The sequence below is a fragment of the Homo sapiens genome, chromosome 1 (genome assembly GCF_000001405.40).
Source record: "Homo sapiens chromosome 1, GRCh38.p14 Primary Assembly".
NCBI classification, from domain to species: Eukaryota; Metazoa; Chordata; class Mammalia; order Primates; family Hominidae; genus Homo; species Homo sapiens.
The window spans coordinates 40,500,332-40,518,253 of record NC_000001.11 but is presented as its reverse complement, the minus strand read 5'-3'; the positions used below and the strand labels follow the sequence as shown (position 1 = coordinate 40,518,253).

General features: G+C 43.8%; 1 protein-coding gene and 1 long non-coding RNA gene across 15 annotated transcripts in view, besides 2 other annotated features; one reads left to right on the top strand and one right to left on the bottom strand.

The window, feature by feature from the left end:
• Nucleotides 1–2,215: 2,215 nt before the first annotated feature.
• On the bottom strand, nt 2,216–9,487 carry EXO5 (exonuclease 5). 14 transcript variants are annotated; one of them, XM_017002099.3, is made up of 4 exons: nt 8,905–9,487; nt 8,629–8,803; nt 8,464–8,521; nt 2,216–3,739 (listed from the first exon to the last, which is right to left on the bottom strand). In XM_017002099.3, the coding sequence occupies exon 4, from the start codon at nt 3,707–3,709 to the stop codon at nt 2,588–2,590; it is 1,122 nt and encodes a 373-aa protein (XP_016857588.1). In that variant the 5' UTR covers nt 3,710–3,739; nt 8,464–8,521; nt 8,629–8,803; nt 8,905–9,487; the 3' UTR covers nt 2,216–2,587. The 14 variants fall into 14 exon arrangements, with proteins under 14 accessions (XP_016857588.1, NP_001333882.1, NP_001333876.1 ...); NM_001346953.2 differs by having other exon boundaries at nt 9,346–9,487; NM_001346947.2 differs by having other exon boundaries at nt 8,629–8,796; nt 9,346–9,487.
• Nucleotides 9,081–9,170: an enhancer, noted in NCBI's record as "active region_847". NCBI's record gives its function as "activates an Ori minimal core promoter by ATAC-STARR-seq in GM12878 lymphoblastoid cells {active_cell/tissue: GM12878}" and the evidence as "EXISTENCE:reporter gene assay evidence [ECO:0000049][PMID:35858748]".
• Nucleotides 9,201–9,450: an enhancer, noted in NCBI's record as "active region_846". NCBI's record gives its function as "activates an Ori minimal core promoter by ATAC-STARR-seq in GM12878 lymphoblastoid cells {active_cell/tissue: GM12878}" and the evidence as "EXISTENCE:reporter gene assay evidence [ECO:0000049][PMID:35858748]".
• The window catches only part of EXO5-DT (EXO5 divergent transcript), a 17,671-nt gene continuing 9,307 nt past the window's right edge, over nt 9,559–17,922 (top strand). Inside the window, exon 1 of the long non-coding RNA NR_187365.1 lies at nt 9,559–9,665. This is a non-coding gene — a long non-coding RNA (EXO5 divergent transcript). The remainder of the gene's footprint in view (nt 9,666–17,922) is intronic.

The following is a 17,922-nucleotide window of genomic DNA, read 5'->3' as shown; positions in this document are numbered from 1 at the left end:
CGCCCGCCTCGGCCTCCCAAAGTGCTGGGATTACAGGCGTGAGCCACCGCGCCCGGCAAATTTTTTTTTTTTTTTTTAGACAGAGTTTTACTCTGTCGCCCAGGCTGGAGTGCAGTGGTGTGATCTCGGCTCACTGCAACCTCTGCCTTCTGGGTTCAAGCGATTCTCCTGCCTCAGCCTCCCGAGTAGCTTGGATTACAAGTGTGTACCACCATACCCAGCTAATTTTTGTGTTTTTAGTAGAGATAGGGTTTCACCATGTTGGCCAGGCTGGTCTTCAACTCCTGACCTCAGGTGATTCGCCCACCTCAGCCTCCCAAAGTGCTGCGATTACAGGTGAGCCACCACGCCCAGCCCTTTTTCCTGTTCTTAAAACTTCTAGTATAACTAAGATGATGCTATAGAACTTGAGCAAGTTCTTTTCTTGAAGACTATTAGCTTAATACCATTTATCCCATAGGTCCAGTGAATTTAGGTTCATTTAACTCTAAACTTACTAGGGCCTATAATAACATACAGTCCAGGATGTTCAACAAGAAAACTTTAATAGCATAATGATTGAGAGCATAAGCACTGCCGTCAGACATATCTAGCCTGGAGTCTACCACTTTCAAACAGTGGAACCCTGGAAACTTTTTTTTTTTTTTGCAGTTGCATGATCATAGCTCACTGTAACCTTGAATTCTTGGGTTCAAGTGATCCTCCTGCCTCAGCCTGCCAAGTAGCTAGGACTACAGGGATGCACCACCATGCCTGGCTTTTTTTTTTTTTTGAGATGGGGTCTTGCTATGTTGCCCAGGCTGGTCTTGAACTCCTGTCCTCAAGTGATCTTCCTACCTTCCCCTCCCAAAGTACTAAGATTACAGGTGTGAGCTACCACACCCAGCTGAGAAAATTATATAACCCTTCTAGGCCTCAGTTCCCTCACTGGAGATAATGGATACAGATTTAATTATAATGTGCTTAGCACAGTGCCTGGCCATAAGAGTCACTCAGTGAAGAGTCATCATAAGATTCCAGGGTCCATAAGAAGAGTATGTGAAGAAGGGCCTCCAGAGACAACCTACCTTATCTCCTACAGATGTCCAGGATTTACCAGCTCATGTATAACATGGAATCATACTAACAACATTCACCATGTTCTGTTGGCTCTTAATGTTCCAGTTAATACAGAAACTCTACCCCTGCCAATTGCCCTCCCCATGCATTGACTTCTGCAAATTCTCCAGTAGTGTCACAAGCAAGTCCTTATCTTCCAGGTGACGTCCGTATCATCCTTCCTCTAGCTGCTTTGATGATGTTTGTAGTTAAGAGCTCCACTGCCTTCTAAGATGGCTTGGGATTCCTCTCCACTACCTTTACATTTTCCTTTAAATGTTATTTTTCACCTTATAAAAAGGGTATCATGCTGTATGTAATTTTCAGGACTTTTTTCACCAAATGTTGTGCTGCTAATATTCATGCATATTGTTTTATGTCACTGTAGCTCATTTGTTTTGGCTACTGTACATTTTCCACTCTTCTGCTGATGGGCACCTGGGTAGCTTCTAGGCTTCTGCTATTGTGAAAGTGCTACAAAGTATATTCATGTTCACATTTTCTATTGCACATGTAGGTTTCTTCCAGCATATACCCAGGAGTGCTACTGCTGGATTGCAATATGTGAATGTTACATGTTACTTCATGTATTATTTTTCTTTTTTTTTTTTTTTTAAGACAGAGTCTCACTCTGTTGCCCAGGCTGGAGTGCAGTGGCATGATCTCAGCTCACTGTAACCTCTGCCTCTCAGGTTCAAGCTATTCTCCTCTCTCAGCCTCCCAAGTAGCTGGGACTACAGGCGCACGCCACCACCCCAGGCTAATTTTTGTATTTTTAGTAGAGACGGGCTTTCACCGTATTGGTCAGGTTGCTCTTGAACTCCTGAGCTCAGGTGATCCACCCATCTCAGCTTCCCAAAGTGCTGGGATTACAGGCATGTGCCACCGCACCCAGCCATGTATTATGTTTTTCGTATCTAATATTTATGACTTCCTGTTTCTACTTCATCTTCCCTTGTCTCTTTGAGAATATTTATTGTTTATGTTTTGGTCTGCTCATTCTGATTCCAAAATATGTTTATGTATATATTTAAAGGCTTGGAATAACACGTACACAACTATATATGGTGGTCATCTTTGAAGGACTGCAGTTATGAAAAAACCATCAGTTCAACTGTCCTGGACAGCATTTCATTTTATTATGTAACTGTAGAAAGCCTTGATCAAGATAAAAATAGGGATGACTTATCAGAAACTGAAGAATTTTCTTAGGAAAGCAAAGTTTACTGAAGGATACCTTCATTCCAGCCATGATGAGCATCTGTCTTCTCAGGCAATCATGATGAAGCTCCAGGGACAGTATAACCCATCTCTCCCACTCATCCCTGAGCCTTGGTCCTGGACTGAATGTGGTTAGAGGTTGTGGAAATAAAAAAAAGAACCAAAATAAGAACACTCTCCATAAAAGCCAAGCTCAGAGACTGGTCCTCTTTTGCTTAGGTACAACAGGAGCAGGAAGGATCAACATTCTTGAAAGCATACCTTCTATTCATTTGGCTTTTTTGACTTGGGGCGCCAGTGTAGAGCTGAGCACTCCACTGCCCTTTCTCCACTCACAAATGTCTGCATAGGTACACGTCCGGCACTTCCAAGCCTCCTCCACGTCAACTCCCTGGGGCTCTCGGTGGCCCATCCAGTAGGCCATATAATGCTGCACCTTGGCTCTCACCTCCTTCTCTTTGAAGGCTACAATCTCAGTACCCAGCACAGTGGCAGTCTCTTGGTGGATATACTCAATCTTCAAGATATCAATAACTGGGAGGTCTGACAGTGTTAGAGACAAGAAGACAAGTTCCATGAGGTCACCCAAAGACTTCACAGAGAAGCCTCCCTGCTGGGCATGCCTCAGCACTGATGGCCCCAGTGGCTTTTCTAGACACAACTTTGTGTGGTGGATTAGGCTAGCAGGGGTCACTTTTCCTTGTACCATGGCATCAAAGATATATTTGTATAGGCTGACTTGAAAACAGTCTTTCTTCTTCTGAGCTTCCAGAGGGAGCATAGGGCGCCTGCGTGTCTTGAGTTCCGCCAGCTCCAGTTCCCCCTTGGCTGTATAGTGCAGCTCATCAATCACTCCAACAAGAAGTACACCCTCCCCTTCCCCAAACACTGGAAACTCTCTGATGTGCCCTTCTGACTGCAGGGTAGGAATCAGCAAAAGTATGTTCAGAAACTTAATTGCCCAAGCATCTTCTTTAGTGGTGACTGGGACAGTCACAAGATCATGAAGTTCTAGTTCTCTAGCTAGGTGTATGCTGGCACCAGTGTCCAACACAGCTGCCTTCTCAGGTGCCAAGAAACCAGGAAGCTCCTTCCCATATGCTGTTTGCAGTTCACACCAGTTCTGAGTAGCCAGGTCAGTGACATATAAATATTTAAGGTGGAATCTCTCCATGGGTGATAATATATCCAATCCTCTTTTCCAGTTTTGTAAGCTTATGGGTTTGTCATCCTTCCCAAGGGATTCAGAAGATGGGCCAGGCATGTTAACTAAAGCCTTTGACTCTTGGGCATCTTCTAGGTCCAGAAACTCCAGGAACTCTGAGTCACTCAAGTCTGAGAACCCTGAGGCTTCTGCTGACACTGTCTCCTCTTCTCTTGTCTCTGCCATGGTACAGCTCTGGATTGGGCTAGAAGGGCCCTGCATAACATGTTAAAGAAATGCATTGTTCAAATAAAAACGTTCTCAAAAGCACTTTCAAATTTCAGTGAGATAAAAACAAAATTATGACAAATTATTTATTTACATTCTTTTAAAAAGCCAGTTTATTTATGACCAATTAGTAATGCCTTGAGTTATAGTCCAGGTATGTATTGCTATAGGGCTCCTTATATATATCCATATATATCTCTTGGCAGAATTTTTTTTTTTTTTTGAGACGGAGTCTCGCTCTTTCACCCAGGCTGGAGTGCAGTTGCGCGATCTCGGCTCACTGCAAGCTCTGCCTCCCGGGTTCATGCCATTCTCCTGCCTCAGCCTCCCGAGTAGCTGGGACTACAGGCGCCCGCCACCACGCCTGGCTAATTTTTTGTATTTTTAGTAGAGACGGGCTTTCACTGTGTTAGCCAGGATGGTCTCGATCTCCTGACCTCATGATCCACCCACTTTAGCCTCCCAAAGTGCTGGGATTACAGGCATGAGCCACTGCAGAATTTTTTAAGTGGAAAAATAGTTTTATTCCTGGATCTTCCACTAACATACTGTGTGTGACTTTAAGCAAATCACCTTTCTTGGCCTCAGTTTCTTCAGATTTAAAAAGAGCTTTGAGGCGGGGCGGGTGGCTCACACCTGTAATCGCAGCACTTTGGGAGGCTGAGGTGGGCAGATCACTTGAGGTCAGGAGTTCAAGACCAGCCTGGCTAACATGGTGAAACCCCATCTCTACTAAAAATACAAAAATTAGCCAGGTATGGTGGCACACACCTGTATTCCCAGCTACTCAGGAGGCTGAGGCAGCAGAATTGCTTGAACAGGGAGATGGAAGTTGCAGTGAGCCGAGACTGCACCACTGCACTCCAGCCTGGGTGACAGAGCAAGACTCTGTCTCAAGAAAAAGAAAAAAAAAAAAAAAGGAGATTTGAGGTTTGCCTTTTCTGCTTCAAAATTCTATTGACTTGAAAGAGTATTTCATTATTTTAAGTGAATATACATCTTTGTAAATGTAGGAACAATGTTTGAGAAGTTTACCATGGGCCACTTTCTACAATTTCCTTTATACAAAGTCCTTGACGAGCAAAATGAATCTCAACTACAAACTGTTCCTTGAGAAAAAGGAGCTCTGCAATAACTGTTTTTAAATGCAGTTCAAGGAACCTAGTATGGCAAAATTCAAAGATCAACTATATATAGATACAAATAAATATAGTCTAACACAAATTAATGCATGAAATAATAAGAGGATGTTACAGCGACACATGGAAATTAGTAGCTTGACTTCATAAATTATCCTCTTAATATTATAGAAATTGGTGTCTGTCACTAAACTGGAGTTTCCCATTAAGTTTATTTTCTCCCTCCACAAGAAACTAGCTTATAATGGGAAAAAAATCTGCCTATTACAGCATTATTAAAAACTCAAAATTTACTGCTATAATAGAGAATATTTATTGTGCGGTTATTTTTTGTGTGCCAGACACTGAGCCACGTGTTTTACATCCAATATCTCACTACCCTACTGTGGGATGGGGATGGGTACTGTACTCCTTTTTTCTTTCAACTTTTTACTATAAAGATTTTCAAGGCCGGGTACAGTGGCTAAAGCCTGTAATCTCGGCACTTTGGGAGGCCGAGGCAGGTGGATCACCTGGGGTCGGGAGTTTGAGACCAGCCTGGCCAGCATGGTGAAACTAAAAATACACCTCATGGTGAAACTAAAAATACAAAAAATTAGCCGGGTGTGGTGGCGGGCACCTGTAATCCTAGCTACTCGGGAGGCTGAGGCAGGAAAATCGCTTGAACCTAGGAAGTGGAGGTTGCAGTGAGCTGAGATAACACCACTGCACTCCAGCCTGGGTGACAGAGTGAAGACTCCATCTCAAAAGAAAAAGAAAATTTTCAAACATACAGAGAAGTAGAAAGAATAAAACAACAAACACCCATGTCCACACCATGTAGATGAACAACTGTTGACATTTTGCTGTATTTACTTCTTGTGTGTGTACTTTTTTGTTTTGGCTGAACTATTTTAAAGTAAATTACAGATAGCATAAAACTTTAAAATCTAAATGTTTCAGCATAATTTCCAAATGGCATTCTTCTTCATAACCACAATACTGTCTTCCAAATGACATTCTCCTCATAACTACATTATCACATCTGACAAAATTAGTAATTCCTTAACATTCCAGTTCATATATAAATTTCCCCAACTGTCCTCAAAATGTCCTAGATAGCTTTTCTTTAATCCAGGAAACAAAGACCACACATTATGTTTGATTGTTTTGTCTTTCAAGTATTTTTTAATCTTAAGAAACTGGGCGGCCAAGCGCAGTGGTTCACGCCTGTAATCCCAGCACTTTGGGAGGCCAAGGCGGGCGGATCATGAGGTCAGGAGATCGAGACCATCCTGACTAACACGGTGAAACCTGTCTCTACTAAAAGTACAAAAAATTAGCCGGGCTTGGTGGTGGGTGCCTGTAGTCCGAGCTACTTGGGAGGCTGAGGCAGGAGAATGGCGTGAACCCAGGAGGCGGAGCGTGCAGTGAGCTGAGATCCCACCACTGTGCTCCAGCCTGGGCAACAGAGCGAGACTCCGTCTCAAAAAAAAAAAAGAAAAAAGAAAAAAGAAACTAGGCAAATTATCTTATGAAGATACTCTTTTTAAGCCTTCCTTCTAACCCCACATATCTAACCTGCATAGAGAGTAAGCAAAACAAGATACAACCAGTCCATTAGTGTTTGACTTTGAGTGCCAGGAAAATAAATAATTTGACATAGAATTTTAGCTGATAGAGATAGCTATGAACCAAATGTCCCCTTCTTGCTATTCTAATAAGCAGTGAAATAAGGTGAATGCACCAACTCCTATGTCAAAGCGTAAGAAGTGATGCCCTGAAAACGTCATTAATATCAGTTGTGGTTGTGTTTAACTGATTTTTAAATAGTCTAAATGTCACTAATGAAAGAAAACATAGATAGCTAGAAGAAAAGTTATCTGCAATGAATAAAAATAATACAATAGTAAGACTTTTGCTTATAGAGTATCCTACAACATTATTGCTTTACAGGATATTTCAATAGTAACAAAATACAGAAGCTGTGCATTTACACAAGTGTTATAAACTGTCAATGTGCTTTAAATAATTTCAAGAAACTTTATTTCAACTATGAAGTCTCTGAAAATTGGAAAGAATATTTACCCTTCACCAAGAAACTAAAGTTAAAGGGCATTTATTTTTTCTTTTCTTTTATTTTATTTTTTGAGACAGAGTCTCACTCTTTCACCCAGGCTGGAGTGCAGTGGCGGGATCTCAGCTCACTGCAAGCTCTGCCTCCCGGGTTCACGCCATTCTCCTGCCTCAGCCTCCCGAGTAGCTGGGACTACAGGCACCCGCCACCGCGCCCAGCTAATTTTTGTATTTTTTAGTAGAGACGGGGTTTCATCGTGTTAGCCAGGATGGTCTCGATCTCCTGACCTCGTGATGCACCCGCCTCGGCCTCCCAAAGTGCTGTGATTACAGGCGTGAGCCACCGCACCCAGCCCTAAAGGGCATTTATAACACATATGCTATGAGGTATTTGTGAGGGTGAGGGGGAACTCCAAGTCCAAATCAATAACCTTAAAATATTTTATTTCAAATATCTAGACCTGGCTGTCCAATATGGTAGCCATTAGTAGCCACTAGCCATATGTGGCTACTTAAATTTAATTAAAATAAAATAAAATTCACATCTCAGTTGCACTAGCCATATATTAAGTGCTCAGTAGCTACATCTGGCTGGTGGATACAGATAAGGCACAGATACAGAACATTCCCTGATCACAGAAAGCTCTACTGAACAGCATAGAGTTAGACTATTTCCTGTGTACACATTAACTCCCCAAAGAGAGAGGAAGCTCCTGAAATGTATGGAGTTCCTACTTGTTTTACATACAACATTGAGAACAGGTAGTTCTAAACAGGGAAGTGAAATGTCTTTTGGAGAAGATACAAAGCAGGGCATTCTCTGTGAAAGTATTCATCTATAAGAATAAAACAGTACACTAGGGATGGATGACTGATGCTCAGATGTGTCTGGGACTTTCCTACGCAGAAAAGAATCCAGAAGAGAGCATAATGCAGTGCATTGTGTCCCAAATTGTAGTTTGTATGTCTGACACGAGACGATTTTACATAGCACATGGACCAACATTTTTAGATACACCTTAGAATAACTATACTGTTATTGGAGCAGCCATCAAATGGCTAATTTCACAGATATTGTTTCTTAGGACAAGTTTGATTTTTATAAAAAAAAAAAGTAAGTAAAAACATAGAATAATACAGGTAGTACACAGGTATGGCAAAATTGTTAGGTAGTAAGTGAATGGGATGCTGGGAAACAGCATAATGCCAAGAGTCTGGGAGTCCTACAGATATGGATTCTAAACCTAATCCTGAGTAGTTCGGTAGCATTTAGTAGTATGCTACTTGCCTTTTGAGTAAGCTTGGACAAGGTTCTAGTTTTCCTGAAGTTACTGACACATTTTTAAAATACCTACTAACCCTACTGAGATATCCGACCATTGAGTGATAACATATAGTACGCATATTAGCACTCGATGAAGATAGATCTCCTTCTTTTTCCCCAAGGAAGAGATGAGAGAGTGTATCGATTCCCCCTGACAAAGGAGATGAAACTTTAGAAGAGAAACTCCTATTCACCTGTGACTTCGTTGATCTTCCTCCTCATAGGGAAGGCCAGAATGCTGAAATGACAAGGCTAGGGAAGAGAAAGAAGTTCTGAAAGACCAGGTCTGCATTAAAGAACCTAAATTAGCAACTTAGGTCCTTGCTATGGTAGAACCGGAACTTCTGGTCCTTTCTTACCTGACCATTCCCTCACGTTGGGTGTTTTCTCCTCTCACATTGACACTGCACAGACTGTTACCCACCCCAGATCCTAGGTTACATAACGCTCGCCTCTCTCCTGGGGCAAACTCTCTCCATGATTTCTTCGTTCCCCCGTACTCTAGATGCAATGACTTGATCCAATCCCTGCTCCCTGAAAGTAAAAGGGTCAGACATAACCAAGATCCCCAAGGAGCTCCGAGATCAGTTCCCTCTTCCAGCTCCATTCTCAACCCAGCAGCTCAAGCAAGAGACCTTATGACAGCGGCTCTTTCTCTCAGATGGGTTACTGCCTTCTGCAGAATTGCCGATGGCAACATCCTGACTTGTTCAGTGCGGCCCGGACTTGTGGGCTCCGCGGGCGTTTGCCTTCAGGGAAGATCTTTCCTCTGGCCCTAAAGCACTGTCTCCCAGGGAGTGCCATGCATGCCCTAAAGTGTACTGAGCACTTCCTACAGTTCTGGCAGAGCCAGGAATAAGAACAGGGAGCCGTCCACCTCGGGAAGGAGTCCCGGCCAACAGCACTGTGTTCCGAGGGCGAAGGTCCAGAACGGGAACCCGGCCTGTGAGGGGAGACGAGACGAGCCGCTTCCCGGGAGCCGCGCCCACCAAGGGAGGGAGACGCGGCGATCGCAGGGACAGAACCCTAAGCTCCGAAACGCAGCCTCCCAGCCCATTCTCCGGCCTTCCCCTAACCTCTGATACTCCTCCGAACCTCGGACTCCACCTGGTTTCGCCGCGGCCTCGGAGCTGCTCCCGGACGCTCCCGGCGAGGAGACTGAGGAAGCCGGGCAGAGCGCGCTGCCGGAGCGGACTACACAGTCGGCCCGCCACTCGCAAAAAAGCCGCCCAGAGCCCAGTCCCAGAGTGCCCCGCGGCTGCCCACGGACCGCCTTCCCAGAGGCCCTCGCGGCGCCGCCTACCTCGCGAGGCTGCGGCTGGGGCAGAAATCCGTCTCTGTGAGCGGAGGAGGGTGTGCTTATGCGAGAGCAGGTTTTGGGAGCTCACTAAAGCAGGTCAGTCCCTCTGTTTGCGCCGTTGTCTGTGGGTCGTTTAATTCCGGGCGCAGCTGATCTGTAACTTCCCTCACTGGCGAGGTCTCCCAGTTACCACCGGGACAATCCGAGCAAGGTCTGGGCCCCTCGCTGCCCCCGGTGAAGTGCCGCGTCTCCGCTTGGCCATCCGTGGATTCAGCATCCCCACCTTAGCACCTCCCGCCGGCTTTTCCATTGAGAGCAAAACCACGAACTCACTTTTGAGAGATGCTGGCGCTCCCCTCATCAATATTTCTTTTTTTTTTTCTGTTTGCTTACTTTTAACTAACCTTTTATTGATAAATATAACACAATTTTATTCTGAAATATAAACCAAAGATAAGTATAATTATGAACAGCCAAGTCATTAGAGCGAAAAAAGAATAGTGTCAGGTTCTTCACAGATACACTTCCTGAGAAAACCACTAGCCCGACTTTTATAACACTTTGCTTTTCTTATTTATATTTATTTATTTATTTATTTTACCAAAAGCAGATACTTGACTCTTTGCTTTTCTTTACGGTTTATCACGCATACTTGAAAACTGGATTTATGACAAAGGTGGCATCATACAGCCATGGAGAAAAGATGGTCTATTCAGTGAAGGTTCTATGACAATATGAAGGCCGGGCACGGTGGCTCACGCCTGTAATCCCAGCACTTTGGGAGGCTGAGGTGGGCGGATCACGAGGTTAAGAGATCGAGACCATCCTGGCCAACATGGTGAAACCCTGTCTCTACTAAAAAGTACAAAAATTAGCTGGGTGTGGTGGCACACACCTGTAGTCCCAGCTATTCAGGAGGCTGAAGCAGGAGAATCGCTTGAACCGGGAGGCGGAGGTTGCAGTGAGCGGAGATCACACCACTGCACTTCAGCCTGGGCAACAGAGGGAGACTCCGTCTCAAAAAAAAAAACAAAACAGAAAACAGGACCTCTATCTCTCATTTCATCACAAAAATCAATTGTAGCTGGATTAAGACCTAAATGTGAAATCCTAAACTATAAAGTCTTCAGAATATAATATAGGAAAATATCTTTGGACTTCAGAATAGGTAAATATTTTAAAACAAAAATAGAAAAACATTAAATTGGCCAGGCATGGTGGCTCATGCCTGTAATACCAACACTTTGGGAGGCCCAGGTAGGCGGATCACTTGAGGTCAGGAGTTGAGACCAGCCTGGCCAACATAGTGAAACCCCGTTTCTAGTAAAAATACAAAAAATTAGCCAAGTGTGGTGGCAGGTGCCTGTAATCTCAGCTACTTGGGAGGCTGAGGCAGGAGAATCACTTGAACCTGGGAGGCGGAGTTTGCAGTGAGCCGACAACAGGCCACTGCACTCCAGCCTGGGTGATAAAGTGAGACTCTGTCTCAAAAAAAAAAAGGAAAAAAAGAAAGAGAAAAAAGGAAAGAAAAAGAAAGAAAGAGAAAGAAAGAAAAGAAAAGAAAGAAAGAGAAACATTAAATTAAGACAACTACAGGCTGAGTGCAGTGGCTCACACACCTGTAATCCTAGAACTCTGGGAGGCCGAAGTGGGTGGATCCCTTGAGCTCAGTTCAGAAACCAGCTGGGGTAACATGGTGAAAACACGTCTCTACAAAAAATACAAAAATTAGCTGGGGGTGGTGATACGTGCCTGTAGTCCCAGCTACTCTGGTGCGTCAGTTGGGAAAATTTTGAAGTGACTTGTGTTTTAGATAATATTATCAATCAATTATAGGTCTCCTGAGTGTCATAATGATTTTGTGGTTATGTAGGAAAATGTTCTTTTTCTTAGAAATATGTAAGTTGAGGCCAGGTACGGTGGCTCTCGCCTGTAATCCTAGCACTTTGGGAGGCCGAGGCGGGCGGATCACCTGAAGTCAGGAGTTCAAGACCAGCCTGGCCAACATGGTGAAACCCTGTCTCTACTAAAATACAAAAATTAGCCGGGCATGATGGCAGGTGCCTGTAATCCTAGCTACTCGGGAGGCTGAGATGGGAGAATCGCTTGAAACCGGGAGATGGTGGTTGCAGTGAGCCGAGATCATGCCACTGCACTCCAGCCTGGGTGGCTGACTGAGACTCTTGTCTCAAAAAAAAAAAAAAAAAAAAATGGAATTTAAGTGTATTAAATAGTCTGTTCTCATGCTGCTAATAAAGACATACCTGAGATTGGGTAATTTATAAAGGAAAGAGATTTAATTGACTCACGGCTCCACATGGCGGGGGAGGCCTCACAATCATGGAGGAAGGTGAAGGAGGAGCAAAGTCACCTCTTACATGGTGGCAGGCAAGAGAGAACATGTGCAGGGGAACACACCTTTATAAAACCATCAGGTCAGCTGGGTGTGGTGCCTTATGCCCGTAATCCCAGCACTTTGGGAGGCCATGGCTGGTGGATCACCTAAGGTCAGGAGTTCAAGACCAGCCTGGCCAACATGGTGAAACCCTATCTCTACTAAAAATACAAAAAATTAGCCAAGCATGGTGGCAGACGCCTGTAATCCCAGCTATTCGGGAGGCTGAGGCAGGAGAATCACTTGAACCTGGGAGGCGGAGGTTGTGGTGAGCTGAGATCGCGCCACTGCACTCCAGCCTGGGCAACAAGAGTGAAATTCCATCTCAAAAACAAAAACGAAACAAAACAAAACCATCAGATCTTGTGAGACTTATTCACTATCACGAGAACAGCATGGGAAAGACCTGCCCCCACGATTCAATTACCTCCTACCAGGTACCTCTTCCATGATATGTGGGAATTATGGGAGCTACACTTCAAGATGAGATTTGGGTTGGGAGACAACCAAACCATATCATTGAGGAAATGCTTTTTAATCCATTGAGATATGAGAAGGCATTTCTGGATTGAGGCTACAAAAACTTTCTGCCTCTTCCCCAACATAACCTTTCTTACTTGAGATGTAAACTGAATGCCAGGAAAACCCCTCCCCAACCCCTTCACACATGGACCACTCCTCAAATGGGGTTTGAGGGGCAATGACACTGGGTAGAGTGAAGCAGAAGAGATTTAGAAACAGTCATGGAATTTGTGGGGAAAATAAATATCAAAAACATAGTACCATATATTCCCCAAAACTTTCAGCCTAAAGACTGTGGGTCTCAAAACTGAGAAAAGAATGCCCTTTTCCCCAAAAGGCTATCCTAGGAAGTCTGAGTCCTTAAGGCCCACCTGTATGCAAAAGTCACTGATTTGGTTCTTCCATCTCCAGGTCTGTAACCATCAAAATACTGTTAGACACAAATGGCCCATTTTCCTCTGTGTCCATTCTTCCCTCCTTGGTGTTTTGGAGCACAGGACTGTACCCCTAACATTGTACTGACTACAGTCTACCATATATCGGAGTAAGTCTTTATGTGATTACTCCCAGAGCTGCACTGTCCAATACAGTAGCCACTAGTCATATGTGGCTCTTGAACACTTGAAATGTGGCTAGTCCAAAATGAAATGTGCTATAATTATAACATTTACAAGCACTTTGAAGCTGAGTACAAAAAAAAGGTTAAATAACTCACTAATAATGTTTACATTGATTAAATGTTGAGATGATAATGTTTTGGATATATTGGTGATATGGTTTGGCTCTGTGTTTTCCACCCAAATCTCACCTTGAATTTTAATAATCCCCATGTGTCATGGGAGGGACCCAGTGGTAGGCAATTGAATCATGGGGACGAGTTTTTCCTGTGCTGTTCCCGTGATAGTGAATAAGTCTCACAATATCTGATGGTTTTATAAAGGGGAGTTCCCCTACACAAGCTTCTTGCCTGCTGCCATGTAAGACATGCCTGCTCTTCCTTCGCCTCCCGCCATGATTGTGAGGCCTCTCCAGCCATGTGCAATGGTGAGGCCATTAAACCTCTTTCCTTTATAAATTACCCAGTCTTGGGTATGTCTTTATTAGCAGCATGAGAACAGACTAATAAAACTGAGTTAAATAAAACATCTTAAAATTAAGCTGGGTGTGGTGGCTCATGCCTGTAATTCCAGCACTATGGGAGGCCAAGGTGGGTGAATCACCTGAGGTCAGGATTTCAAGACCAGCCTGGCCAACATGGCAAAACCCCATCTCTACTACAAATACAGAAATTAGCCAGGCATAGTGGCATGTGCCTGTAGTCCCAGCTACTCAGGAGGCTGAGGCATGAGAATCTCTTGAACCCAGGAGGCAGAGGTTGCAGTGAACCAAGACTGCACTACTGCACTCCAGCCTGGGCAACAGAGTGACTCTGTCTTTAAAAAAAAATTAATTTTACTTGCTGTTTTTTGTTGTATTAATGTAGCTGCTAGAAAATTTAAAATTACATATGTTTGCATTTGTGTTGTGGCTTACATTATATTTCTGTTGTACAGTGCTGCTCTGGAGTATCAGAGCCTTAAAGGAAGAGAATTTATCTTGCTCAAATTGTGTTCCTCACAGGTATAGGGGCAATAATCGGCATACTCTTTACATGCTCAAGAGAACTCCATTGACAATATTCAGTATTTGAGAATCTTCTATTCCTTATATGAGAATCAGCCTCTCTCTTGAGTCAAACTCCAATTTCTGGCAATTGAAAGGGGCATTTTTAGTCGGAGAAAGCAGGAGGAGGTAGCCCTAGGCCAGGAAGTTGTGGGGGGTGAGAATGAGCTAAGGATGAACGACTGGGGCATGCTTCTGCTAAAAGAAGGCAGCTTCGGATATGGTACATTATGAACCCTTGAGTCAAGGGGTTTTCTCTTTCCATTTCTTGGATCTGTTTCTCCTGTGTTTGCTCCATATCCGGCAGCCTCCCTCCTCTTCCACTGCTAGTAGCTTCCAGGACCATGAAAGCCTTTCAGATTTGTGTCCATTGTGGGAAAAAAGGAAGTCTGTTTCCCTAATAGCTGAAACATAAGTTCAGAAATTGTTCCTGATTGGTAAACTGGGGTTAAACTCTATGCCTGTCTTAGCCAGAGTCTTCTAGAAAACAGAGCCTGAGGCAAGGATTAGAGTCCTTTTTTTTTTTTTTTTTTTTTAATTTGGAAGGTGTTAAGCACGTGGTAGCAAGGATAAGAAAAGAAAAGAGGGACGTGGAGCAAGTAACAATGTAAAGCAAATTGAAGTGGTAAGTTATTGCACTGGGCTATTGCCTCATGTTGAGACGTGGTTCTCCCAAACTGATTTCACAGTAATTTTATAAAATTTAAACCCCACGTTGTCACTTTCTGGTCTCAAATCCTATAGGATAAGGCTTATCTCTTTATTTAGTCAATCCAGCCAAGAATTCAAGGGCTCATCCAAGAAAGGTATAAATTTTGTGAGGTGTATCACATGTCATTTCCTTGTATGATGCAAACTAAATCTGGGAGGATGAGTAGGAGCTAACTAAATAAAGAAGTTGGGCTGGGCACGGTGGCTCACACCTGTAATCCCAGCACTTTGGGAGGCCAAGGAAGGAGGATCACCTGAGGTTGAGTTTGAGACCAGCCTGGCCAACATGGCGAAACCCAGTCTCTACTAAAAATAAAAAAATTAGCCAGGCACGGTGGCAGCACCTGTAATCTCAGCTACTCGGGAGGTTGAGACAGTAGAATCGCTTGAACCCAGGAGGCAGAGGTTGCAGTGAGCCGAGATGGTGCTACTGCACTCCAGCCTGGGTGACAGAGTGAGACTCCGTCTCAAAAAAAAGAAAAAAAAAGAAAAAAGAAAAAAAAGAGAAGTTGGACAGAAGAGGAAATTGCACCATTGAGGACCAGAAACCATGAAATAGCATGGAATATTTAGGGAACCATAAGATCTTTATAGCTGAAGCAAAATATGCTTGGGTGGAAATTTGGGAGCCACTTCTAGACAAATAGGAGATGCTCTATACCAAGTGGTCTGTACTAAGAAATTTACCTTTTTTTTTTTTTCTTAGACAGGGTCTTGCTGTGTCACCCAGGCTGCAGTACAGTGGTGCAATCTTGGCTCACTGCAGCCTCTGCCTCCTGGGCTCAAGCAGTCCTCCCACCTCAGCCTCCCTCGTAGCTGGGACTAGAGGCATGCACCACCATGCCCAGCTAATTGAAAAAAAAAATTTTTTTTTTTTGAGACGAAATCTTGCTCTGTCCCCTAGGCTGGAGTGCAGTGGCACGATCTCAGCTCACTGCAACCTCCACCTCTCGGTTAAAGCGATTCTCCTGCCTCAGCCTCCTGAGTAGCTGGGATTACAGGCATGCGCCAGTACGCCTAGCTACTTTTTATATTTTTAGTAGAGATGGGGTTTCACCATGTTGGCCAGGCTGGTCTCAAACTCCTGACCTCAGGTGATCCACCTGCCTCAGCCTCCCACAGTGCTGGGATTATAGGCATGAGCCACCACACCTGGCCTAATTTTTAAATTTTCGTAGAGAGAAGTTCTCACTATATTGCTCAGGCTTACCTTTATCTTAAAGTAATGAGAAATCATTGAGGGATTTTAAGCAATGATGTGGTTTGATTAGACATATGTTTTAGAATGATTACTCTAGAAGCAGTGGGGAGGCTAGAGAGATTAATCCAAACTACAAATAGAAACACCAGTTTGGTATCTTTTAAGCAGTTAGAAAGTGCTAAGAACCTGATTAACACATTGGTAATGGGAATGGAGAGAAAAAGATAGACTGAGGAGAATATACAGGACTTGGTGACTGATCGGGGGAGGTAATGGATGAGAGGAAGAAGTTTAAGCTGGAGAATTGGGTAGAGGTAGTACCACTTCCTGGATTACGGAATACAGATTTTATTGAAAAGATGATGAGTTGAGTTTTGGACATATTGACTTTGAGGTGACTATGGGATATCCAAGTGGAGATATCCAGCTGGACGTTGAATACAATGATCTGGAGCTCAGGAGAGATTTCTAAGATAGAGATACAGAGTAAGAAGTGTTGGGGCTGGGCGTGATGGCTCATGCCTGTAATCCCAGCACTTTGGGAAGCTGAGGTGGGAGGATCACTTGAGGCCAGGAGTTTGACACTAGCCTGGGCAACAAAGTGAGCCCCTATATCTACAGAAAATGTTAAAAATTAGCTGGGCATGGTGATGTGAAGCTATAGTCTTAACTACTTGGGAGGCTGAGGTGGGAGGATCGTTTGAACCCAGTTCAAGGCTGCAGTGAGCTATGATTGGGCCACTGCACTCCAGTCTAGGTAACAGAGCAATGCCCAGTCTTTAAAATAAAAAATACAAATAAAATTAGCGTTTAAAAAAGAAGTGTTGGGATGTCAATAAAATAAATCAGACAGGCCAGGTGCAGTGGCTCACAGCTGTAATCCCAGCACTTTGGGAGGCCGAGGTGGGCAGATCACTTGAGGTCAGGAGTTTGAAACTGGCCTGGTCACCATGGTGAAACCCCATCTCTACTATAAAATACAAAAAAATTAGCCAGACATGGTGGTGCATGCCTGTAATCCCAGCTACTCGGGAGGCTGAGGCATGAGAATTGCTAGAACCTGGGAGGCAGAGGTTGCAGTGAGCCGAGATCACGCCACTTGCACTCCAGTTTAGGGGACAGAGCGACACTTAAAAAAAATCAGACAAAATGTCTAGCTAGACAAGAGACTATGCCTACTGACACCCCTAGAGAAAGACATTTCTGTGATCAGCAAAGGGAGGGATTAGTGCCTATGAGGTAAACAGAATAAACAAACAGGCACCGATAACAAGCCAAGTCAGTGGGTAGGCTCTGAAGCATAACATAAGGCTCCCTGGAGCAGTAGTAAACCTAAGAAGTAAACGTCTTAAAAATGGCAAAGTGTGGCTATATTCGGCCAATTAAAAGCAGGTATATGGAAAGCTACGATGAAAAATTTGGAATAAATGTGCTAAAAAATGTGTCTCAGTTATAGGATATGAGTAATTGAAGATGGTTATTCTCCATTTATGGGTTTAGATTAGGTGAGTTCCTAAACCTTTCTCAGTGCTAAAATCCTGATCCCATGAGCTGGCATTGAAGAATGGTTAAGATTTGGAACTCTATAAACACTAAACCCTTCCTCTGGGAACTGCTCTCCTGCCCTTCCAGCCACTACTCCATCCATATGGTTCCCATAAAAGCTGACATCTCTGCCTACAGTTGATTTAAGGGTTGGCACCTGACCTAGCTGGGCCAATAAGAATCCTTACCCTAAGAATTTTGCACTGGAAATGAGAAAGAGAAGACAGCTTTTGTCTGGGTGATGGAAACTGAATATATGTAAAATATGGAACTGACAGTAACCATGACTTGCAGTCAGGTGTTTAAAAAGGCAGGGC